This window comes from Homo sapiens, chromosome 16, assembly GCF_000001405.40.
Source record: "Homo sapiens chromosome 16, GRCh38.p14 Primary Assembly".
Lineage (NCBI taxonomy): Eukaryota > Metazoa > Chordata > Mammalia > Primates > Hominidae > Homo > Homo sapiens.
Genome location: NC_000016.10, coordinates 50,492,446 through 50,519,069, shown reverse-complemented (window position 1 = coordinate 50,519,069; position 26,624 = coordinate 50,492,446). Strand labels below are relative to the sequence as shown.

General features: G+C 44.9%; 1 annotated feature.

The window, feature by feature from the left end:
• Positions 12,225 to 12,870: an enhancer, noted in NCBI's record as "H3K27ac-H3K4me1 hESC enhancer chr16:50540111-50540756 (GRCh37/hg19 assembly coordinates)". NCBI's record gives its function as "activates a minimal SCP1, AML or CMV promoter by ChIP-STARR-seq in primed H9 embryonic stem cells {active_cell/tissue: H9 hESC(primed)}" and the evidence as "EXISTENCE:reporter gene assay evidence [ECO:0000049][PMID:30033119]".

Below are 26,624 nucleotides of genomic sequence, written 5' to 3'. Positions count from 1 at the left end.
CTGAAAGGAAAGAAAGATGCAGCTGACGTGCAGAGAGAAACAGACTCCAAGGCCAAAGTTGGCTCTCTATATCCAGACCCTCCCAAAGTCCATTTCTCCTCTATCACTGGCCATTTGATATCACCCTGTACCTTGCCTATGATGCATTCTTTTCTGTGCAGGTTGACTTGAGAGATTATGCTGTTGCAGCTGTATAATCCCCCATGTAAGCAGAGTAAGATCTGGCTCTGTGCTTTCAAAAAAGTTATTCAACCTCAGTTTCTCCTATTTATAAAGTGGGAATAATAAATTCCTACCTTACCGGGCTTTCAGGCAATTCAACTAAATAACATAATTGGAGATCCTTGCACTCAGTATCTAACACAGTAGATCCTCAGCACCTGGCTAATGCTTTTAACACTATTGTTAATGTTGTTGTTGTTGTTTATAAATTTTGATGATGGGGAGAGCTAGCAGTAATTTTAACCAACTCTTGATTATTCCACTTTGCAGATAATCCACAAACCAATTTTATCCTTCACTGACTTCTTTCCATCATCAGTTTCTCCATGCTCAAGAAAGATAGAATTATTTTGTTGTTGGCTAAACTGCAGTTGTGAAGATAGAAATGATTAAAATTAAATCATGTATAGCAGGCATGAATTTTACTCCATCATCTTAGGTGTGTGTGTTTTTTTAAAGTCATTATTGTATTTTTCTAAATCAAACTAAGGTTGGAGAGTGATGTCAGCATGAAGGGAGACTAGGATTTCAGCACATATTCCCTTCCAGAAACATCCATTTGAACAACCATCCATGCACAAAAATATCTTCACAAAAGCTAAGGAATCCAGGTGAAACATTACAGTACCTGGATGGAGCACAAAAATAAGAAAAAACACTTTGAGAAAGGTAGAAAGGACAGCTTCACCCCTCCCCTAAATCTGGGCAGCACAGCACAGACCTGATTTCACTATAGACCCCAATACCAGGTCTGCCCCAGTGAACCATGACACCAGGTCAGCCCCTGTGACCCCAGGCCAGACCCATGGCCCCAGGCTCCAGGCATGCCTTAACACCAGGCTCCAGGCCCACCCCAGGGCCAGGCTGTCCCTTGAAGACCCAGCCTCCAACTCTACCATCACACCAGGCCAGTCCCATGGACAAAGGGTCCAGGCCAGCCCTTGTAGCTTCAGGCTCCAGGCCTGCCCCAGCACCAAGCTGGCCCTATAGGCCCAGGCACCAGGCAAGCCCTTGTGGACCCAGCCTCCAGGCCTGCCCCTATGGACTCACCCCTACAGACCCAGTATCCAGGCCCATTCCTCTGAACTCAAGTTCTACAGTCGTTCCCAGGGGGCCTTGGTGCCAGGCCAGCCCCTGTAGATACAGGACCTAGCCCATCCCAGCACCCAGCTGGTGCCAGTGGACTCCAGCTCAAGGTCTGTCCCAGTGCCAGATTGGCTCCTGTGGACCTTGGCACCAGGCCTGCCCCATAGACCCAGGCACCAGCCCCACCTGCCAGTCCAGTGACCAGGGACCATGCCTAGTCCTCAAACTCTAGCAGCAAACCTGCCCATGGACGTTACCAGATAGGCTTCCCAGAGTTTCTGAATGGCTGACTGATGAAGGACTTTTCTTGCCAAATCCAGTCCATGAAGACTAGAAGAGGGGCCTACTTCTTCAAATCTGCAGATGCCAATGCAAGGCTACAAGGAACACGAATAATTAGGAAAATAAGATACCACTAAAGGAATCCAACAAAGCACCAGTAACTGATCTTAAAGAAATGGAGATCTACGAACTGCCTGGCAAAGAGTTCAAAATAATTTTCTTAAAGAAGCACAGTGAGCTACGAAAGAGCTCAGATAGACCATTAAATGATATAAGGAAAGTAATATGTAAACAAAATTAGAAGCTCAACAAAGAGATATAAACCATAATAAAGAACCAAACAGAAATTATGGAACTGAAGAACACATGACTGAACTGAAAGATTTCATAGAAGGCTTAAACAGCCAATTTAACCACACAGAAGAAAAAAAAACCAGCAAGCTCAAAGACAGGTCATTTGAAATTAGTCAGAGGAATAGAAAGAAAAGAGAATAGAAAACAGTAAAGAAAGTGTACAGGACTAATGAGAGATCAAACAAACTAATATTCACATTACAGGACCCCTGAAAGAGCAGAGAAAGAGAAAGAAACAGAAAGCTTATTTAAAAACATACTTACAGAAAATTTTCCAAATCTGAAGAGAGAAATGAATATTCAGAGTCATGAAGCTCAAAGAACTACAAATAGATTAAATATTAAGAGATCTTCACCAAGACATGTTAAATTCAAATTCTCAAAAGTTAAAGACAAAGAGAATTTTGAAAGAAGCAAAAAAAATGACTCATCACATACAAAGGAACATTGATAAGATGATGAGTAGATTTCTCAACAGAAACCTTACAGGCCATGAGAGAGTTTGATAACATATTCAAAGTGCTGAAAGAAAAAAAAAACTAGCAACCAAAAATACTATACCCAGCAGAGCTGTTCTCCAAAAATTAGGAGAGAAAAAGACTCCTGGACAAGCAAAAGCTATGGGTGTTCATCAGCTAGACCTGGCTTACAAGAAGTACTAATGGGAGTTCTTCAAGTTGAAATTAAAGGACACTAACTAACAACAAGAAGATATGTGGAAAATATAAAACTCACTATATAGATAAGAATATAATCAAATTCAGAATACTCTAATTATTTAATAGTAATGTGTAAATCACTTTTAATTCTAGTATAAAAATAAAATGACAAAGTATTAAAAATAACTACCACTACAATAATTTGTTAATGCATACACAATATATAAAAGATGTAAATTGCGACATTAATAACATAAAATGAGGGGGGAGGAGAAGTTAAAGTGTAGGGTTTTTGAATGTTGTAGAAGTTAAATTGTTAACAGCTTAAATTAGGATGTTATAACGTAAGACGTTTTATGTAAGTTTCATGATAAACAAAAAGAAAAACGCATAGTAGATACACAAAAAAGAAATAGAAAGGAATGAAGCACACCACTATAAAAATCCCTAAATCACAAAAAAAGACAGAAAGAGAAAAAAGAAAGAAACAAATAAACTACAAAACAGAAAACAATTAACAAAATGGCAATAATAAGCCTTTACCTATCAATAATTACTTTAAATGTTAATGGATTAAGTTGTTCAATCAAAAAACATAGAATGGTTTAATGGATTTTAAAAATAATATTCAGCTATATACTGCCTACAAGAGACTCATTTTAAGTGAGTTGGCTATGGCTTCACACATAGGCTGAAAGTGAAAGGATGAAAAAAGATATTCCAAACAAATGATATCCCACCTAAGATATGGATGAAAAAAGATGAAAAAAGATATCCCACCCAAGAGAGTAGGGGTGGCTACTCTTATTTCACACAAAATGGACTTTCGATCAAAAACTGTCATGAGAGACAAAGAAGGTCATTATATAATGATAACGAGGTCAATGCATCCAAAGTATATAACAATTATGACTATATATGCACTTAACATTGGAGCACCTAAATATATAAAGCAAATATTAACAGAACTGAAGGGAGAAATAGAGAGCAATACAATAATAGCAGGGGTCTTCAGTATCCCACTTCCAACAATGGATAGATTATCTGACAGAAAATCAATAAGGAAAAGCAGGATTGAACAATACTATAGACCAAGTGGACCTAACAAACATACAAAACATTCCATTCAACAGTCACAAAATATACATTCTTTTCTAGCACACACAGAACATTCTCCAGGATATGTTAGACCACAAAACAAGTCTTAACAAACCTAACAAAATCAAAATTATGTCCAATATATTCTCTAACCACAATGCTATGAAACTAGAAATCAATAACAAGAGGAAAATTGAAAAATTCACAAGCATGTGGAAATTAAACAACACACTTTTGAACAACCAATGGATAAAAAGAGAAATCAGAATGGAAATAAAATATATCTTGAGGCCAGGCATGTGGCTCACACCTGTAATGTCAGCACTTTGGGAGGCCAAGGCAAGAGGCTCTCTTGAGTCCAGGAGCTTGAGACCTGCCTGGGCTACATAGTGAGACCCTGTCTCTAAAAAAAATTTTTTAAATTAGTTGGGCATGGTGACGTGTGCCTGTCATCCAAGCTACTGAGGTGGGAGGATCCCTTGAGTCAGGAGTTTGAGACTGCAGTGAGCTGAGATTGTGCCCCTGCACTCCAGCCTGGGTGACCAGAGTGAGACCCTGTCAAAAAAAAAAAAAAAGAGAGAGAGACAAATGAAAATAGAAACATTGCATTTCAAAACTTAAGAGATGCAGCAAAAGCAGCTAACAGAAAAAACGGAATTAATAAAAATCAGAGCAAAATTAATGAAACAGCTAAATAAATAGTAGAAAAGACTGATGAAACGAATGCTTAGTTTGTTGAAAAAAATGACAAATCTTTAGCTAGAATAAGAAAATAAAGATAATTTAAAATAAATAAAATTATAAACAAAAAAGGAGACATTATGATTGATACCACCAATAGGCAAAGGATTATAAGAGACTGCTATAAAAATTGTACACCAACAAACTAGACAACCTGGAAGAAATAGATAAATTCCTAGAAGCATACAAACTTCCAAGACTGAATTATGAAGAAATAGAAAACCTGAATAGATCAATAATGACTAATGATATCGAATCAGTAATCAAAAAATTCCCAACCAAAAAAAAAAAAAAATGCCTAGGACCTGATGGCTTTACTGGTGAATTCCACTGAATATTTTTTAAAGATTTAATGCTAATCCTTCTGAAATTCTTCCAAAATACTGAAGGGGAAGGAACACTTCCAAACTAATTTTGCAAGGCCAGCATCCCTTGACACCAAAGCCAGATAAGGTCAATACAGAAAAGAAAATTATAGGTCATTAACTCTAATGAACAGAAAAAAATTTTCAACAAAATACTAGCAAACAGAATTCAACAGCACATGAATTATACACCAAGAGCACAGGATTATACACCATAATCTAGTGAGATGTATCCCTGGGATGTAAGAATAGTTTAACATGCAAATCAATAAATGTGATACACCACGTTAACAAAATGAATGATAAAAATTACATAATCATCTCAATAGACGGCATAAAAAACAATTTACAAAATTCAGCATCCTTTTATGATTAAAAATGCTCAACAAATACATACAGAAGGAATGTACCTGAACATAATTAAGGCCATGTATGACAAGCCCACCAGTAACATGGTACTCAATGATGAAAAGTTGAAAGCTTTTCCTCTAATATCAGAAGCAAGACAGGAATGCCCACTATTACTGTTTCTATTTAATATAGTACTGGAAGTTCTAACCAGAACAATTAGGCAATAAAAAGAAGTAAAAGTCATCCCAATCAGAAAGGAAGAAGGAAAATGTCACTGTTTGCAGATGACAACATATTTTTTTTCTTTTCTTTTTTGGAGACAAGGTCTGGCTCTGTCACCCAAGCCAGAGTGCCATGGCACAATCTGCCTCCCAGGCTCAAGCCATCCTCCAAGCTCAGCCTCCCAGGTAGCTGTGACTACAGAGGTACATCACCACACCTGGCTAATTTTTTTGTAAAGATGGGGTTTTACCATGTTGCCCAGGCTGGTTAACTCCTGAGCTCAAGTGATCTGATTGCCTGCCTCAGCTTCCCAAAGTGCTGGGATTACAGGTGTGAGCCATCGCACTCAGCTGACAACATCTTAAATATAGAAAACCCCAAAGACTCCACCACAAATTGTTAAAACTAATAAAAGAATTCAGTGAAGTTGCAGGATACAAAATGAGCATACAAAAATCAGTGGATTCCAAGCATGATGGTGATCACTTGTAGTCCTAGCTACTTGAGAGGCTGAGACAATGGGATAACTTGAGCCTAGGAGTTTGAGGCCAGCCTTGGCAACACAGCAAGACCCCATCTCTTAAAAAAAAATTTTAATCAGTGGGATTTCTCTATACTAACAACAAAATATTTGAAAAATAAATTAAGAATACAATCCCATGTACAACAGCATCAAAAAAATTCAGGAATGAATTTAACCAAGGAAGTGAAAGATCTGTACATCGAGAACTGTAACACACTGATGAAAGAAATTGAAGAAGACACAAATAAATGGAAAGATATCTCATGTTCCTGGATTTGAAGAATTAATATTATTAAAATATCCATACTGCCTGTCTTAGTCTGCTTTGTGCATGTAATAACAGGATACCAGAGACTGGGTTATTTACAAAGAAAAGAAATTTATGTCTTACAGCTCTGGAGTCTAGGAAATCCAAGATTGAGGGGCTGTCATCTGGTGAGGGCCTTCTTGCTGTGTCATCCATGGTGTAAAGTCAAAGAGAGGGTGAAAGAGAACAAAAGATCTAGTTCACAGCCTCAAATCTTTTTACAATAGGTATTAATTCATTCAGGAGGGTGGAGACCTCATGACCTAAACACCTCCCATTAGGCCCCATCTGCCAACACTGTCACATTGGGGATTAAGTTTACAACACATGTTTCTGGGGGAACACATTCAAACTATAGCCCTACCCAAATCAAACTGTAGATTCAATGCAATCCCTTCAAAATTCCCAACGGTATTTTTTACAGTAATAGAAAAAACAATTCTAAAATTCATATGGAACCACAATACATCCTAAACAGACAAGAAATCTTGAGCAAGAAGAACAAAGCTGGATGCATCACACTACTTGATTTTAAAATATAGGACAAAGCTATAGTAATCAAACAGCCTGATACCAGCATAAAAACAGACATGTAGACCAGTGGAGTAGAATAGACAGCCCCAGAATAGGTCCACACATTTACAGTCAATTGATCTTTGACTAAGGTGCCAAGAACACAAATGGGGGAAGGACAATCTCTTCAATAAATGATGTTGGGAAAATTAGATATTCAAAGGCAGAACAATGGAATTGGACATTTATCTCACATCATATACAGAAATCAACTCAAGATGGAGTAAAGACTTAAACACAAAGCCTAAACAATAAAACTACTAGAAGAAAACACAGTGAAAAAGCTTCTTGACATTGATCTAGGCAATGATTTTTTGGATATGGCCTCAAAAGCACAGGCAACAAAAGCAAAAATAGACAAATGGAATTACATCAAACTACAAAGCTTCTGCATAGCAAAGGAAACAACCTGTGGAATAGGAGTTAAGAGATAATCTATGGGATAGGAGAAAATATTTGCAAACAATATGTCTGATAATGGATTAATTTCAAAAATATATAAGGAACTCAAGCAACTCAATAGCAAGGAAACAACCCAATTTTTAAAAGGACAAATGACCTAAGTAGACATTTCTCAAAAGAAGACACACAAGTGGCCAACAGGTATATTAAAAAATGCTCAATATCACTAATGAGGGAAATGTAAATCAAAACCACAATGAGATCACCTCACACCTATTAGAACTGCCATAATCAAAAAGACAAAAGGTACGTATTTGAAAGAATGTAGAGAAAAATGAACCCTCATACACTGTTGTTGGGAATGTAAATTGGTACAGCCATTATGGAAAACATTATGGATGTTCCTCAAAACGTTAAAACTAGAACAACCATATGATCGAGCAATCCACTTCCAGGTATATATCTGGAGGATGTGAAATCAGTATCTCAAATAGACTCTCAAGTTCACTGCAGCAATATTCACAATAGCCAAGATATGGAACATCATCATGTTCCATACAACTAAGACTACATCAATGAATGAATGGATAAAGAAAATTGTGTGTGTGTGTGTGTGTTGCACACATACAATGGAATACTATCCAGTCTTAGAGTAAAAGGAAATCCAGTCACTTGTGACAACATGGGTGAACCTGGAGGACATAATGTTAAGTGAAAAAGCCAAACAGAAAGACAAATACTGTATGATCTCACTTATATGTGGAATCTTAAAAAGCTGAACTCACAGAAGATTGAATAGAATAGTGGTTGTCAGTGCTAGGGCTGTGGGAAATGGTCAAAGGGATCAAAGTTTCAGCTTTGAAGAATGAATAAGTTGTGGATATCTAAGGTACAGTATGGTGACTATAGTTAAAGTCATACTGTATACTTTAAATTTACTAAGAGAATAGATCTTAAATATTCCCAACACACACACACACAATTATGTAAGGTGATGGTCATGTTAATTAGCTTGATGTTGGTAATTATTTCATAATGTGTATGTATTTCAAAAATATCACATTGTACACTGCAAATATATACAATTTTAACTTGCCAAGTATACTTCAATAAAGCTTGGAAAATATTTTTAATAAATAGTAAATAATAAGACTAAAGAAATATGACTCCAAGCACCCTCCCAGCAGCCTGACTGGTCACTGTTGATGGGTCCCCACCCCACAGCAGAGCTGCACAACACTACAGGGTCCCTCAGAGGCTGCAGCTATGATGCCTCCAGCCACACCTGAGCATAGGATCTTTGCCAAGGCCTAGAAACTCAGTCCAGCCACTCTAGGTGTAGCTGTTTCCTTTGGAGGGACCACCACCCCCCTCTTCCCAGGTACTGTCCTACTACTTTAAGGATTATAGAATTCACACTCTCAGGGACTTTAATTTTCCTCTCATCACCTCCTCTCCCAAAGTCAACCTCCTCCACTCAGAGTCTCTCTCCTCCTCCCTCTCCCTGACAGGATAATCTAATACGGTAATCCTCAAAGTGTGGTCCTGGACCAGCAGCTCCTGCACCACCTGGAAATTTGTTTCAAATGCACATTCATTTTTACGCCATCTTAATACTTACTGAACCAGATACTCTGGGAGTGGAACTCAGTAATCTGTGTTTCGGCAAACCTTCCAAGGGATACTGGTGCGTGCTCAAGTTTGAGAACCACTGGTCCAGTAAAATCCTTGCAGTGAAATTATACTTTTAAAACCAAAAGCCAAGAGGGGAGCTTGTCTTGGGACAACATCAGGTTCTGGTCTCTGCGACATAGCATCTTCCTACCTGGTGAGCAAACAGCAAACACCAGAGCCCTGGGCTAGGGAAGAACAAAGAGGACCAGCATGTTTGGCAGTGAGGGTTGCACGCTGCACAACTCTAAGGGATGCTACCCACATAAACTACCATGCAAATGGCACAGTATGGTGGACAGGTGGGAACATCAAGGAACCAAAGGGCAGAAAGAGGGATCTTGTGGTTATTTGAATAAGTGGGCTTGAGGGATTCAGTCCCCGTTAAGGGGCAATTGGGAAGATGGGAAGAAAAGCAGTGCAAAACCTGAACTCAGCCCCAGGGGGCGCTCTATATGCAGACAACACACATCATGGGTCAAACAAAGAATGTGTTATTCAGGGGGTCTCAAACGCAAATGCCCACAGGAGCCAGGTTGGTATGTAAAGAGACTGGAGAACACAGCCCAGCAAGGGTGCAAGCACCACCAGCCATTGCCATTGTGGCCACGTGGGATGCTGAGCTCAGCCTTGTCATATCTTCCTTTTTAAAAACAAATGAAACCAGAAATCCATGTCTACGTGAGATCTCTAGGAGTCCCTTTAAATATTTTAAACAGATTCTGATTCTTTTTTACTGCTTCATTTATTTGGCTGTGACAGATTCTTATTTTTAAAAACACTTTGTAATGTATCCAGAATATATAAATTACTCTCAAAACCCAATTAAAAACAAAATAAGCAAAAGAGTTGGACTCTTCAAATGAGACTTACAGATGGACAAGAGCCCATGAATAGATGCCTAACATTAATCTTTAGGAAAATGCAAATTAAAACCACAATAAGTTAATGCTGTGCACTTGTTAGGATGGCTACATTTTTTTAAAAAAAAACTCCCAATACCAAGTGCTGGTGAATGAATATGCTGGGCAATTGGAACTCTCTTACCTTGCTGGCAGGAATGCAAAATGGTACCATTACATTGGAAACCATTTGGCAGTTTCATATAAAGTTAAACATACTCTTACTATGTGACCCAGCAATTCCACTCCTAAGTATTTACCCAAGAGAAATAAAAATTTATGTTCACACAAAAATCTATCTATGAATGTTTATAATGGCTTTATCTGTAAACACCAATCCAAATGTCCCTTGCCTGGGGAATGGATAAATGAATTGTGGTATGTCCATGACAGAATACTAATCAGCAAGAAAGAGGAATAAACTACCGAGACATGCAATAAAATAAAATACCTAATCTCAAATGCATTCTGCTAAGTCAAGGCACTCTGACTCAAAAGTCTCCATAGTGTAGGATTCCATTTCTAGGACATTCTAGAAAAGGCAAAACTATAGGGACAGAAAACAGATGGTGGCTAACAAGGATTGGAGATGGGGGCAGGGATTGCCCGAAAGGGAGATGGCGGGGGTTACATTTTGGGGAGTGATGGAAATGATCTAATGTATTGATTATGGTGGTGATCTGACAAAATTCATACAACTGTACACCAAAAAGGGAGCATTTTACAGTATGTAAATTATGCAAAAAAAGCTTATTAAAAAATTAAAAGTAAAATAAAAATCACTCTGTAGGCCACACAACACAGCACTACAAATGGAATCCAGCTGGTGGCCTGGCCAGCACTGGACATCATGAAAGATAGAGGGAAAAATGGGATGACCCCACCCCTGCCCCTGCCCTTGAGGAGCTGAGCAGCAGAGAGGCAAGATTTTCAACCGTGTTCCACGAGTCATGGCCCTTTTCTCTGTTTTCTCAGGGTTACACATAGTATGTCACTTGGGCAAACAGAGACTTCCTTACCTAAAATGTTTTGGAAAACAAAAGTGTCCTGGGAACAAAGGCGGGTTTCAGTCTAAAGACCCCAGTAAGAGCCCTCCTCTGCCTCTACCCACCGTGTGATCCTGGGTGAGACTTCATGGGAGCTCACAGGTGAGGGCAGCCCCAGAGCTCTCAGAGACCTTGCCTTCTTGAGGGTGGGACAAGAAGAGTTTATGTTTTCTCTGACCTTGCAGACCTGGCAGGGAGGTAAGAAACACCCAAAGGGTAACCTCCAGACCCAGGCTCTGTAGGGAAACTGAGGGCTGTCCATTTTGAGGGCAGAGCTGTTTGGGAACAGCATTAAAACCCCTCAGCAATGGCACCTTCACCCTGCTGCGCCCCAGGCCTCCCCGTGCTTAGAACGCTGGAGTTTGTAGCAAGGAATGTCCAGCCTCTTGGTCTCCTTCTTCCTGGGACCCTTAGAGCTGGTGGCAGGCAAATGCCTGCTCAGCCCTCATGCCAGAAGACACCCAGGCCCTGCCTCTGAGGCCACCAATCAAAGTGAAAGACAGGAGAGAGTCCTAGCTCCAGGCCTGGAGGATTCAGGCTAGATAAGTGCAGAACATCCAAAGGAAAGAGATTCTGACAACTTGGGCCTCAGTTTCCACATCTGTATAATGGGGATAAGGAACACAAACACTGAATGGCATGGTGGCTCATGCCACTCCCAACAGTTAGGAGGCCAAGGAGAGAGGATTGCTTTAGGCCAGGAGTTCGAGACCAGCCTGGGCAACATAGCGAGACTCTGTCTCTACAAAAAATTTCAAAATTTGCTATGCATAGTGGTATGCACCTGTAATCCCAGCTACTCAGGAGACTGAAGCAGGAGGATCCCTTGAGCCTAGGAGGTCGAGGCTGCAATAAACTGAGAGTGCCATTGCACTCCAGCCTGGGCAACAGAGTGAAACCCAACTCTAAAACAAAACAAAACAAAGCAAAAACATAAACATCACAGTGTTTTTGTGAGGCTTAAATGGCTATCCTGTGCTGGGCACCTGGTTGGGGTGCAGAGATGGCAGTTTCCTTGTTGAGTCTCCCCCAACATTCAAAGCCATTAACCCAGGTGACAAGTCATCTGGATCCCCAAGAAGCTGTGCTTCTCTCCTTAGCGGGTCAGCTATGCCCAGACCTGGAAGAAAGACCTTTTCCCCAACCATGTCCTCTGAAAGGGAAACTGGGACGACTCAAAGTGAGAGTGTGGAGCCAGGCTGGTCCTCCACTGGGAAGACAAAGGACCAAGGATAGGAGAAAAACCAGTGGACCCAAGAAGCCAAATGGAGGAGCAGGGAAAAGAACTGAGGTGGCCGTGGGAGCCTTGGAGGCCAAACCAAGAGCATGGAGCCTGGTGAGGCAGAGTGTGCAGGACTCTGGTTGAGGAGTCAGTTAGAAACAGCGTGCTGGTACGTCCCTTAGCCCACATCAGCCCTGGCTCCCATGCCAGCCCCTTGCAGGACTGTGTTTAATCTCCATTTCTCAGATAGAGAAGCTGAAGCCCCATGGCTCACACACACCCCTAATAAGTGGACCTGGGACTCAAACCCAGGTCTCCACAGTCACCCTCACTACGGTCCCATTAACTTATTAAGCTCTGCCATTAACTCATTAAGGAAGCATGGGAAAGTCCTTGCTCCTGTCTGGGCCTCAGTTTCCCCACTTTGTTGATGACTGGAAGGGCTTGCAGGTCCCAAAGCCCCCGATCCCAGAACTGCATGGTGTCCCAGCCCCAGCTCCTCTTCCACTCTGGGACTGGCCGCTCTTACGAGGAACCCCCAGCCAAACTTTGGCGGTGACCCCCAGGCCACTTTGCCCTGGACAAATAGTGGCCAGACCCCACCCCTGGGAGTTACCCTGGATCAAGCATTTAGCTTTTGGAAGAGTGGCCCCCATTCTTCCCCTTCATCCTGTCCCCAGCTACCTAAGGCCACTTCCTGCTCCCTGCCCCTGCAGACAATGCCCTAGGCCCAGGCTGGAACCCTGCTCCTGGCTCAACCCTCCCCTACACCCAACACATGTGCACACTCACTTCCCGCAGCCCTGCGGCTTCAGGCATCTGCTGCCCTTCTGGAACCTGTGACCTCCAGGACAGCGGCAGGCAGATCTTCAGCCCCAGAGGTCCAGGGCCCCTGAATGCCTTCTGGACTCCCCAGGGTCTGCCCAGGTTGCTTGGGAAACCATTTCAGGTCATTTGAGACGATGAGGAGGTTTAGCTCTGGTTTGAGCTAAACAACACGAAGAAACAAATCCCTGTCTGTCAAAGTCCATCAAGCTAAGTTCTGGAGGCCTGGGAGTCGGCCGACATCTCTCAAGGGGTTTGCTCTTCTGTGCTGCTTTTTTATTCAGCTCCACAAATATTTGTCAAGGAAGCTGCTACTGTGCTGACATCAGTGTCCTGGGAGGTTGGGGGGATGGGCAGGCCATTCTGAAGAGAGGGAATACAGAGAGGAGCGGTACTTAATCCCTGTCCCCAGGGACTTTGCTTTCTCAAAGCAAAGGTGTTTGACGCCTGCTCTATGAACGCCCTTCCACAGGGCAGCCAGCTGTGCCCTTCATTTCTAAATGGTTCTAAGGATGGAAAGGAAAGACCCAAAACGCTATCAGTCATTTTCTTATGGGAGAAAGACATTCTCATCCTTTTCTTCATTTTCCAATTTTGCACCAGGAGTCATTACTACTTTTGAAATTGGAGAGTAAAGATTTATGGACCTATACCTTTTAAAATATGGGAATGATTATTGGAGGTGGTTATAAAAATTATTCTGCTCATTGTAACTATTCAGACAATACCCAAGAAATGAATGAAAATGAAAAACCACACATAATCACTGATTGAGCAGGAAATATCTTGTCCTTCTTTTTCTGACCTGCAGCGATGTGAGGCTGAAAGAGGCTTTGGGAGCCAGGGTGGCTGGGCTTGGATGTAAACGTCCACCCACTTTGGCGGTACTGGGTCCACCTGCAGTCTCTGACCTGGGCCAGGAGCTACCATAAGCCTATACCACATTCCAGGGAAGATTGGGAGCTCCCATCAAGAGAGGAGTTTAGCAAATGCTGGTCCATGCACATCTCAGTGTGCTACGGAGGTAGATGCTCCCAGATATTGACCACCACAGAAAGTCAAAGTCAGATTTGGTGAATTCGTATGATAGTGCCAATTTTTAAAATGGGCTTTAGGCCAAGAAAGGACATTTATAAAGGAAATCAGCAACTATTCCTTATCACTGGAATTTCAGAAAAGAATGGACATTTGAACACCAAAAATCAGAAAAACTCTGCAAATAAAAGCTTTGTGAAAAACTCAGTAAGCGGCCCTTGCTTGCTGTAGGGAATTCAAGCTCTCAATGAAGGGCTGCAGCTCTGAGCCAGGCTGGAAGGCAGTGGTTTCTCCTCTCATTGGGCCTTGGTTTCCTCATTTGTCTAGCATTCTTTTTGCATAAAGATTCCGACTTCCAGCTGGGCGCGGTGGTTCACAGCTGTAAGCCCAGCACTTTGGGAGACCCAGGCAGGTGGATCACTTGAGGTTAGGAGTTCAAGACCAGCCTGACCAACATGGTGAAGCCCTGTCTCTACTAAAAATACAAAAAAATTAGCCAGCCATGTTGGCACACGCTTGTAATCTCGGTTACTTGGGAGGCTGAGGCAGGAGAATTACTTGAACCCAGGAGGTGAAGGTTGCAGTGAGCCGAGATCAAGCCTCTGCACTCCAGCCTAGGTGACAGAGGGAGACTGTCTCAAAACAAACAAACAAAAAAGAAACCTATTCCTATTCCCCCTTCACCCCCTTCATCATTCCTTTTTTTCCCCCCAGTAACAAACAGCTTTGTCCCAATGATGGTCACCTTCCCTTTTTTATTTATTTATTTATTTATTGAGACGGAGGAGTCTCGCTCTGTCACCAGGCTGGAATGCAGTGGCGCAATCTCAGCTCACTGCAACCTCCGCCTCCCAGGTTCAAGCAATTCTCCTGCCTCAGCCTCCAGAGTAGCTGGGACTACAGGCCCACACCACTACACCCAGCTAATTTTTTGTATTTTAGTAGAGATCAGGTTTCACCGTGTTGCCCAGGCTGGTCTCGAGCTCCTAAGCTCAGGCAATCCACCTGCCTCAGCCTCCCAAAGTGCTAGGATTACAGGCATGAGCCACCACGCCCAGTTGGTCACCTTCCAACATCCGCACCCAGCAGGTGGTTTGAAAGTGCCAACACCTAGATAGACAGGCAGTGTGACAACCTGGGAGAGGTGGCCAGGTGATGAGGCTGGAAAGCATGGGAAGAAGGGACAGAGTCAACACCACCAAGGCAAGCATGTCTAGAAAGGTGAGCAGAAAGGAGACAGAGAGAAGGTGATCTAGGGAAAGGCTGCCCCTGATGGGGAGAAGGTCTCCCTGGTATTCTAGAAAGGGCATGAGATGGTTGAAGGGGTGCCGAGGGCATGGCCAGAGGTGGAGGCATTTCTGGAGGGTCTTTCTGAGCATAAATACTGTGTCCTGTCAGTCACAGGATGGAATCCCAGATGGAGGGATGGAGGAAGGCGGACGAGCCCCGTAGACTGGCCTTGTCCTCCCTGGCACCCGCCCCTCCCTGGGGCCCTGTGGGATGTGCTCTGAAAGCCCCCAGTAGATACCTGTTCTCCCAGGACTGGGGACTCATTCAGAGCATACAATGGAAGTCAAGAAGGCTCTGGCACCTACTGTTCCCTCTGGCACCCTCCTTTCCCTCGGCAACCTCAGGCCTCTCCCTGGGGTCTCAATGAGCCACACACACTGAGGCGGAGCAGTGGGGGATAGAAGGCAGGGCTCAGGCAGGGTTGAACCGTCTCATTCAATCACCCCTCCCTCTGCAGAGGAGAAAACCCGGGCCAAGGAGGGAAGCCATTCCACGTCAACAAATTCATGGCTGTGCTGAAACAATAGTTCTATCAAAATAATAATAATAAGCAATTGTGGGATTCCAGTCTTCTGTCTCTCACTCGAGGATTTAAATTGGAGGACCGCATATTGGAACTGATGGATTTTCAGACCCTGTGGCCTCACATGGGAAAGTGTCTGGGGACAGGAACATTCTACCTGCCTCAAGGGTCACCCCACGAGGGCACCTTTGTACACGCGTGAAGCCCGCTTGGATGCACACCGTCTGGGTGTCTCCAGATGTGGACATTTTTAAGCAGTTAGATTTTCTATTCCTTCCAGCCCCTCAACCCCACCCCCACCCCTCCCAGCAAATGGATAACAGGAAACAGCCAAAGCTTCTTAACTTTTCTTTAATCTTCCCCTCTCTGGCAAACTGAAAAATCAAACGATAATTGTCTGGGTGATCTCATTATTGTCAACAAAATCCAAGCCTTGAAGTCCGAATACACTGAAATGCTGACACATTAAACACAAAAGGAAACCGCTTGCATGTTGTTCAATAAATAAATAAGGCTGGTGGGAGCTCGGCGCAGGCCTGGCACACTGCACACTGAGGGGCTCTGTGGTCGGAAATGCTGGGACTGCGAGATGACCACGGGGACCCGGGAAGCGTGGCATCTAGGAAAGACTAGGACCAGGAGGTCAAGGTCCCATCCTTCCTGTTTGTATCAGTCAGGCCTGGCAGGAAACAGATGGACAGATGGCACCTTCCCAAGGGTAACTGAGGAGAGTTTAATGATGGGGGTATTTATGCGGGCAGGGAACCAGAAGGGGAGGTGGGGCATCCGGGGAACTAGCACCATGGGAAGCCCTTACAGCCACTAGACCCGAAAGACAAGGGGACCAAGCAGTGATCAGAGCCCAGAGAGGGTGATGGGTGAGAGGTCCACTTGATAAGAGCTGTGGCTTTTCAGGGGAGAAAGACTGCACCCACCAAAGTGTGGCCTGGCAGGGAGAGGACTAGAAAATGTATGGCTCCACTGCTCTCTCCTACCTCCTTCCCATCTCCCAGCGGTGCCTCCTATTGGCCAAACCCAAGCAAAAGCCGGAGGACAAGGAAGATGAAAGTCAAACAAGCAGCTTCCATGAGCCCTGTATGCAGACAGCACTGGCCCAGTGCTGGGGAGTTGCTGGCCCTTCTCCTCCAGGTCAGCCTGGTGTGTCTCTGCAAGTCTGGAGCAGCAGGGAGGGAGTAGGGGTAGTGATACTTCCACTGCACTTTGGTCTTCAAAAGTGTCCTATTTTCTGAAAGATGCAGGTTAAGGGACTGAGCTGTCTCTGGCATGGAGCAGGGTCTGGAGGGACAAAGAGAGAGCAGCCAGCATCCCACGCATCATGCAACACCCCCCTGCAGCATGCCACATCTGTACCATCCCCAGCTTGTGCACATCCAGGGATGCAAAACTCACCCACACTTCCACCTGCAAGCAGCCTATCCAAGTGTGAAGATTCCATATCTCAGTTCCTGGCAAAATCAAGTTCTGGGATTGGGGAACAGGTCACATCCATACTAGGGAGCAAGTGCTATTTGAATGTCAGGAGGGTGAGACTGGGAGCTACTGGGCAGGCCTGCTGCATTGCTTGGCAGGGGTGGGGTAGTAAACGCAAAGCGAAACCTATCTCCCATTTGTTCACCTTCTCTTGATCTTGATTTTTCTGCCATCTTATCAGAATCCTAATAGACACCATGAACATATATTACCTATCACCTTTAGGGAAAATGGGACACTTTTAGAGACCGAAGTGCAGTGGGGGTGTAACTACTCCTACTCACTTCCTGCTGCTCCAGGCTTACAAAGACAGACCAGGCTGGCCTAGAGGAGAGGGGACAGCAACTCCCCAGCACTGGGCCAGCGCTGCCTGCACACAGGGCTCATGGCAGCTGCTTGCTGACTTTGTGCCCATAGACCTCCCTTTCTCTGTCAGTCCCAGAGGCAGCAGTGGAGGGGACTGGTGTTGGGGGAAACAGGGCATCAGGAGACCCAGGTCCTCATCTGCTTCTGCCACTTTCTGGCTGTGTAGCTCTGGGCAAAACCTGCCCTGCCCTGGGTCTCAACTTCCCAACTTAGAAGGAAAAGGGACTTTGTTCCTGATCTTGGCCAGCCTACATGGAAGAAGAGACCCTTCTCTCCACCTGCAGAATCCTTTCCTTCCTCCTCAACTTTCTTCTCTCCAAAAGGTGCAAATGAGGCTGGGCACGGTGGCCCACACCTGTAATCCCAGCGCTTTGGGAGGCTAAGATGGGAGGATCATTTGAGCACAGGAGTTTGAAACCAGCCTGGGTAACAGCAAGGCCCCACCCCCCTACAAAAAATGTTTAAAAATTAGGGCTGGGCGCGGTGGCCCACACCTGTAATCCCAGCACTTTGGGAGGCCAAGGCGGGAGGATTGCCTGAGCTCAGGATTTTGAGATCACCCTGGGTAACAAGGGTGAAACCCTGTCTCTACTAAAATACAAAAAATTAGCTTGGCACGGTGGTGCGCGCCTGTAGTCCCAGCTACTGGGGAGGCTGAGGCACGATAATTGTTTGTGCCTGGGAGGCGAAGGTTGCAGCGAGCTGAGATTGTGCCACTGCACTCCAGCTTGGGCCACAGAGTGAGACTATGTCTCAAAAAAAAAAAAAAATTTAGCCAGGCTTGGTGGTGTGCACCAGTAGTCCTAGTTACTAGGGAGGCTGAAGTGGGAGAATCACTTGAGCCTGGGAGGTCGAGGTTGCAATAAGCCATGCATGATTGCACCACTGCACTCCAGCTTGGGCAACAGAGCAAGACCCAGTCTCAAAAAAACAAAACCAAAACAAATAAATAAATAAATGGTGCAAATATTTGCTTCCACCCTGAAAAGTTAAATCCTGCTTTTTATCTGTGAGTACCCTGGAGTTTTGCAGGGCCTCTCGAATATTATCACATTTGGTGCTTTGCAAACAACTCCCTCTGCTTTGCCTGTTCAGCTACAGCATGAGCAGAAAGGACGAGAGAGGACCCAGGCATCCCTGACCCCCTCCTTAAGCCAGAGACTGTGACTGTCCCACTCCCTCTGCCCCGCCCTTCCACCCTCCCTCCCTGGGTTGTCACTGCATGACTTTGGCAGGGTAGTTTTCCTCTCTGAGCCTCAATTTTCTCATTGGTTAAATTGGGGTGCTAATAATAACCACCTCAGTGATGACACATGAAGCATTTAGCATGATGTCTGGCACACAGTAAACATTCAATGGACGGGAGAGGTTGTCATTGTTTTTTCTGTCCACAAGGAACCCTGGAGGTACCCGCCTCATGTTCTATCCTCCTTGGAGGCTTGGGGCAGTTGGCCATTCTCTGAAAAGCCAGCCTGTTCTGACACTTGCCTGTCAAGTCATTGATTAGGCCTCCATCACTGTATTCCCTGTCTTCCCTTCCCTAGGGTTCCAGAAGGAAAATGCTGCCGAGGGTACTGTGGAAATGAGGCTGAAAAAGCCTTCTGTATGATGCAAAGGATGGCATGCTTCTAAGGAATAAAGGAAAATATGTTGATCTTTTCATCTATACATGCTTGTCACCTCAAATAGGTTCTAAACTCTTTGGGGGTGGAAAATAAAGGCAGGAAACTAATGTTGATTAAACACTGTGGTTGACGTTACAATGCTCTGCAACATCAGGCTCAGTTTTCCTTCCTGGACATACAGAAAACTATATATCCCAGTACCCTTGCTGTGAGGTGGAACCATGGGCTAGTCTTGGCTAGTTAACTGAGAGCAGAAATGTTCTGGCCAATTATTTAGTTAATTTCTTCCTCTGCCACAGTGAACATGGAGGCTTTGAGTTGAAGTGATGGAGCTGCAATTTGATCTTCTGGATTATGTATCACATCTAGAAGAAGTCTGCCCCGGAGGGTGGTCTTGGACCTACAGCAAGCTTCATGGGAGTGAAAAATAAACTTCTGTAGTGATTAGCCACTGAGCTTGCAGGGATGCTTGCTACTGCAGCACAGCCTTGCTTGGACTGACTGGTACAAGCACTACCATATGCAAGTATTTTTATATATATTATTATTTCATTTGATCCTCGCATCTCTAGAGGCAGGTATTATTATCCTCTCAATAAGAGGTAGACCCAGAAGTAGAGCCAGGTTTCTTTGCCTCCTGAGCCCTGGGTCTTAGCAATTAGGTAGATGCCACCCCCTAAAACAGGGAAATTTGGGAGGCAGGCATGTAAATGGTTAACTCAATGCAGAAATGCCCCTTGTCACCGTGGGGTCTTTGTTGAGGAAATTGTAATCCTTCAAGTGTGGCCTCCCAGAGTCTGGGAAAAAAATGTTCCCAGCTAAAAGTAGCTACACCAGAGGGTCCCAGCCAAAGTCCAACTCTAGGTTGGCAGAATTCTTGGATGGCTTGGAATTCCTGCTGGCCAAGGTTCCACTGGCATGGAAGTGTTTACACTCACGTCAAATTAGTTCTCCCACGCCTTCCAGAGCCTCAGCCCATATTTGGGATGGAAAGGGGAAAATGATTCCCAGGGGAGATTCAAAAGCATCAGAAAAATTCCTCAGGGGCCGAGGCTTCTCCGTGTGGCTTGGGGCTCTGAGCAGGGTCTCTCATACCTGGACCCCGTGCCAGCAGGGCAGCCAAGCCAGGAGCACATGAACCCCCTCACACACTAATTCAGAAGGAAGGCATTTCTGCAGTGACCCTTGGGAGACCCAGAACAGATCCATAGCCAAATGAAGTGCAAGAAACAGGAAAGAAGAAAAGATCTAACTTGCGTTTCTGTCTGTTGAAAGTAGGCTTTTCTTCCTCCCTTCTAGAAGATGCTATGTGATTGGAGTGCCTTTAGCCGCGAGAAGCAGAAAACCCAGTAAAAGCGTCTTTGCAGAAAGGAAAGCTCCCGGAAGACTGTGTAGAGTGTACCCTTTTTGTGAGGCTCAAAAGCAGGCAAAACAAAGCAATACGTTGTCTGGATATACATTTACATGTGATAAAACTATACAAACCCATACAAGGGAATGAGAAACACAGAATTCAGGACCGTGCTTATCTTAGGGGCAAATGCAGGGAGGTGGTCATGGGGCCAGTTCGAGAGGAGCACATATGGAGGAGTAATCACTATTGGCAATATTCTAGTTCTTGAGTTGAGTGATGGGTTCATGGGTGTTCGTTATTTTAATAAATATCCCAGTGGCATGTCATGAATCAAGGCTCATGATTAATCCAGTTCTGTCTACCTAAGATCTATTTTTAAAGGGGAACTCAATAACAGCCAACACTTGTACACCATTTCCTGCGTGCCAGGCACTGTTATAAGCCCTTCACATATATAAACATGTTTACACCTCCTAGCAGCCTTATGAGTTGGGTCTTATTTTATGTCCACTTTCCAGATGAAGAAACCAAGGCAAGACAGGTTAAGCATCTGCCCAAGGTCACACAGCAGGCAATTAGGCTTCAGAGACCTCCTTCATAGCTGTTGCAAAATAGGAATGTTAGTCACATCATATAACTGCAAGCCCAGAGACAGAGCTGTTGTGGGGTGGGTTTGTTCTGTGGTTCAGGTGACATCATCAAAGATGCTGTCCTCACCATGTCCACCAGGTCCCCCCGCCGCTAGTCATACTGCACTTGCAGTCTTTGCAGACAATCCCACACAGTTCAGCAAAATGAGGCATTTCCTCTCATGTGCTGTTTCATTGGTGAGGAATTCCTTTCCCAGATCCTAGCTTGGAGACTTCCCCTTGGAGCCATTGACCAAGCCGAATCTCATGTCCAGACCCAAACCAATCATTGACCACCATAATGGGCTTTGAGCATTCACAGTTCACCCCCCTGAGACTGCAGGGATGAGTGGGAACAGTCAGGGGTGTTTGCCTCTAATTAGGGTTCCCCTGCATGGGCTATGAGAAGAAAAGACGGTTGACTCTGCTGGACTGGGGGCTCCCTAAACAGAAACCATGTCTAAGTCATCCTGCCCTCCCTGTCCCCCACGCCCAGTCAAGGCCCATCAAATAGTAGGCATCCATTCTACTGGACAGGCCAGTCCTGGGGCTTGTCATGCTCACAGTCTCCTCCTGAAAAAAGAAGAGACCATCTGTCCCTGGAGCCCAGGTGGCTTATATCTGTCCAGAGGTGATTGGTTGAGAGTCAGTCACCTGACCTAAGAGAAGTTATGTCACAGGCTAGCCAAGATCCTATGGTATATCTTGATACAAAGATCTCCTTCCCAACCAGGATGGGTGGTTTAGTGGGTGTCTTAACCCAGATTCCATATCAGTCAGCTTTGCATTGTTAGAAAGGAATACCTGAGGCTGAGTTATGTATAAAGAAAATAGGCCGGGTGAGGTGGCTCACATCTGTAATCCCAGCACTTTGGGAGGCTGAGGCGGGTGAATCACTTGAGGTCAGGAGTTCAAGACCAGCCTGGCAAACATGATGAAACCCCATCTCTACTTAAAAAAAAAATACAGAAAAGAAAAATAAAATAGGTTTATTTGTCTCACAGTTCTGCAGGCTGTACAAGCATGGCACCCACATCTATTTCTGGTGAGAGCCTCAGGAAGCTTACAATCATGGCAGAAGGTAAAGGGGAAGCAGCCATGTTATACGGTAAGAGAGGAAGAGGTTCCAGGTGCTTTTTAAACAAACAACTCTTGCGGGAACTGGTAGAGTGAGAACTCATTCATTACCACAAGGACAGCACCAAGCCATTCATGAGGGATCCACCCCCATGACCCACACACCTCCCAGACCCACCTCCAACATTAGAGGTCACATTTCTGGGTTTGTTTTTTTGTTTGTTTGTTTGTTTGTTTGTTTTGTTTTGTTTTGTTTTGTTTTTGAGACGGAGTCTCGCTCTGTCGCCCAGGCTGGAGTGCAGTGGCGGGATCTCGGCTCACTGCAAGCTCCGCCTCCCGGGTTCACGCCATTCTCCTGCCTCAGCCTCCCAAGTAGCTGGGACTACAGGCGCCCGCCACTACGCCCGGCTGATTTTTTGTATTTTTAGTAGAGACGGGGTTTCACCATTTTAGCCGGGATGGTCTCGATCTCCTGACCTCGTGATCCGCCCACCTCGGCCTCCCAAAGTGCTGGGATTACAGGCGTGAGCCACCGCGCCCGGCCTGTTTGTTTGTTTTTTGAGACAGCGTCTTGCTCTGTCACCCAGGCTGGAGTGCAATGGCGCGATCTCGGCTCACTGCAACCTCCGCCTCTGGGGCTCAAGCAATTCTCCTGCCTCAGCCTCCCAAGTAGGTGGGATTACAGGCATGCGCCACCACACCTGGCTAAATGTTGTATTTTTAGTAGAGACGGGGTTTCCCCCATATTGCCCAGGCTGGTGTCAAACTCCTGACCTAAGGTGATCCGCCTGCCTTGGCCTCCCAAAGTGCTGCAATTACAGGCGTGAGCCATCACGCCCAGCCAGAGGTCACATTTCAACCTGAGATTTGGAGGGGACAAACATCTGAACCCTATCACCGTAGAAAGCAGAGCCTGAGTCAAAGCTCACCTGCTGATGCTTTCCTGGTAGACACAATCCCAGGGAAGCAAGAATGAGGGGAAAGGATTGGGGCAGAGAAGGAGGCACAGGGGGTTCTTCTTCAGAACTGAAGGACTGAAGGCCCTTCAGCGCCTGGAAGTGCAGCTGGCAGACGGCCCCCAGCTGCCAGCCCCCTTTGGAATTGCTTTTATGAAGCAAGTCACCTCGCCCCACATCACACCTCCTTCCTGGGGCAGCTGCGTCTAATAACTGGGAAGCACAAGGTCATAAAGGCCCAACCCCTCGTCCCTACCCAGGACAGCTACAAAGGGCTCTCCCAGCTTCAGGACTCCTCATTGAGACTACGGCACAACTCACTCTCGCTCTGCCTGGGGCTGCCTTCGTCCTGCCCTTCCACAGGGCGGTAAACCTCCTGCACCCTCAGCTCCTCTTCTGGACCAGGAAACATGAGGGGAAAGTCTGTGAGGAGAAGGAGCAGAAGCTGAGAGGCTATGAAGGGGAGAGGGCCATAAGGAGTCAGGAAAGAGTGGGCAGAAGTTAGGAGAAAGTCGAAGTGAGGTGGAGACAAGCCCAACGGCACACCCGCTGAGGGGACAGCGAAACGGCCCTGTGGGGACAGCTGGCTGGCATTCCGAGTGATGTCATCCAAAAGACCACCAGGATTGTTACTGGAAAGGGGTCCAGATCCAGACCCCAAGAGAGAGTTCTTGGATCTAGCACAAGAAAGAATTCAGGGCGAGTCCATAGAGTCAAGTGAAAGCAAGGTCATTAAGAAAGTAAATAAAGGAATAAAGAATGGTTACTTCATAGACAGAGCAGCCCCAAGGGCTGCTGGAGGCCCATTTTTATGGTTATTTCTTGAGTATATGCTAAACAAGGGCTGGATTATTCATGCCTCCCCTTTTTAGAACATATAGGATAGCTTCCTGATGTTGCCATGGCATTTGTAAATTGTCATGGCTCTGGTAGGAGTGTAGCAGTGAGGACGACTAGAGGTCACTCTTGTCGCCATCTTGGTTTTGATGGGTTTTAGCCAGCTTCTCTATTGCAACCTGTTTTATCAGCAAGGTCTTTATGACCTGGATCTTGTGCTGACCTCCTATCTCATCCTGTGACTGAGAATGACTTAACCTCCTGGGAAAGCAGCCCAGTAGGTCTCAGCTTTATTTTACCCAGCCCCTATTCAAGATGGAGTTGGGCTGGTTCAAATGCCTCTGACAGGATGGCTAAAAAGTAGAAAGAGAGCTTTATTGGTGATATTGGCTTACACACTGGGAAGAGAGAGTCTCCATCGTGGACTGAAAGTGCTCTCTCTTCCAAGAGAGGAAGGAAGGATGTGTTGGGTTTTATGCCTCCCAGGGCCGGGGTCATACATATTCAGCAGATTTGGGGGAAAAGTTATGCATATTTATGAGGGGAGCCAAGCTTGTGTATCATGGGTAAACATGTATGTGACATACATCCCATGTTCACCTTGGGGAAAGGTTTTAGCATTAAAATGAGGTGGAATTGGCTCTTTACATCAAAGGGGAAGCTATAGGACACAAGGTCAGTTTCTGCACAGCCTCTGTAGGCCATGGAAACTGGCCTACGGTCTATAGTAGTTTATCAGACAACATTGGGCATGTTCAGTGTGGGATGGCCATAGACTATACTCGCTTATCAGAAGAGAATGTTTGGAAGGCTGATCCTCTCCAAATCAGAGCTGACAGCTCCTCTTGTTGGAGCGTTTCAGTGTAGGAATTTAGAAATTTGCCAGGCAGGAGGACCCTGAACCCTCAATCTGTAGGTAACTTTGTTTCCTTAACTTTGGGTCTGTGTTAGTTGATAAAGGGGTGTCTATTTTGGTCACTCAGGTCACAATGACCATCCTTATTCTCAGAGTCTCAGATGGTTTGCTGGGGTCACTTGTGGGGCTCCATTCCTTGGGTTGAGAACAGCTTCATGCTAGGAAAGGGGGTCTGCCCAGGCTCCATCCCTGGCTTCTGGATTCCAGTGGGAGCCAGGCCCTGGATCTTGGCAGGACAGTTGGGGAAAGACTCTTTTTCTGGAGAGTGTGCTGTAAAGATGCTCAGTTAAGGTGAAGACATTCCCACTCCCTCTATTTTGGCAACACAAGAGGAGGCCCTAGAGCAATGAGGGCAAGGCAGGGCTATTGGAAGCTCATGGATGAAGCCCACGTGGTGCCAGATAGAAAAAAGAGACCACTCAGATGGAGAGAAATCAGACCTACCACATGGCTTCAGCCTTAGGCCTTTCCATCTGTATTCCTTCTTCCATCAAAAGTTATCCTTCTTGTGAACCTATAGATTATATTGAAAAGAAAGAAAATAACCAAGAGAAAAAATAATTTAAAAAACTACCCTTCTAGCAGCCATCAGAGAGATTAAAATCGTGTCTTTTGCAGCAACAGGAATTGAACTGGAGGCCATGGAACTAACTCAGAAACAAAAAATCAAATAAGTACGTTGTCACTTATTAGTGGGAGTGAAACAATGGGTACACATGGCTGGCCGGGTGTGGTGGCTCACACCTGTAATACCAGCACTTTGGGAGGCAAAGGCAGGCAGATCACCTGAGGTCAGGAGTTCAAGACCACCCTGGCCAACATGGTGAAATCCCGTCTTTACTAAAAATTCAAAAATTACCTGGGCATGGTGGCTCACACCTGTAGTCCTAGCTACTCAGGAAGCTGAGGCAGGAGAATGGCTTGAACTGGGGAGGTGGAGGTTGCAGTGAGCCAAGATCATGCCACTGCACTCCAGCATGGGCGACAGAACGAGACCGTCTCAAAAAAAAAATAAATGAGTATACATGGACATAGAGATAGAAATAATAGACACTGGGGACTCCAAAAGCCTGGAGGACAGGAGAAAGGCAAAGGTTGAATAATTACGTATTGGGTACAATGTTCACTATTTGAGTGATGGGTACATTAGAAGCCCAATCCCCACCAGCATGCAATATACCCATGTAACAAATATGCACATGTACCCCCAAATCTAAAATAAAATTATTTTTAAAGTTCATTTAACCTACAAAAAAAAATTGACCCTGTCAGCCAGGTATAGTGACACATGCCTCTAATCCCAGCTACTTGGGAGGCTGAGGCAGAAGGATCATTTGAGCCCGAGAGTTCAAGGCCAGCTTAGGCAACACAGCAAGACCCCATCTCAAAAGAAAAATTTGTTTTAATTACCCATCCATAGTACTATTTCAATCTTTCAGGCCTTGCTAGGAAATTAAAACCAATCTAGAAAGAAATAAACCAATTTTTAAAATTGGGCAAAGGTCCTGAATAGACATTTCTCCAAAGAAGATATACAAATGACCAAGAAGCAGATGAAAAGATGTCAACATCACTAATCATTAGTGGAAGACAAGTCAAAACCACAGTGAGAAATCACTTCACACCTGTTAGGATGGCCATTATAAAACAAACTAAAAAAAAAAATCCACCAAA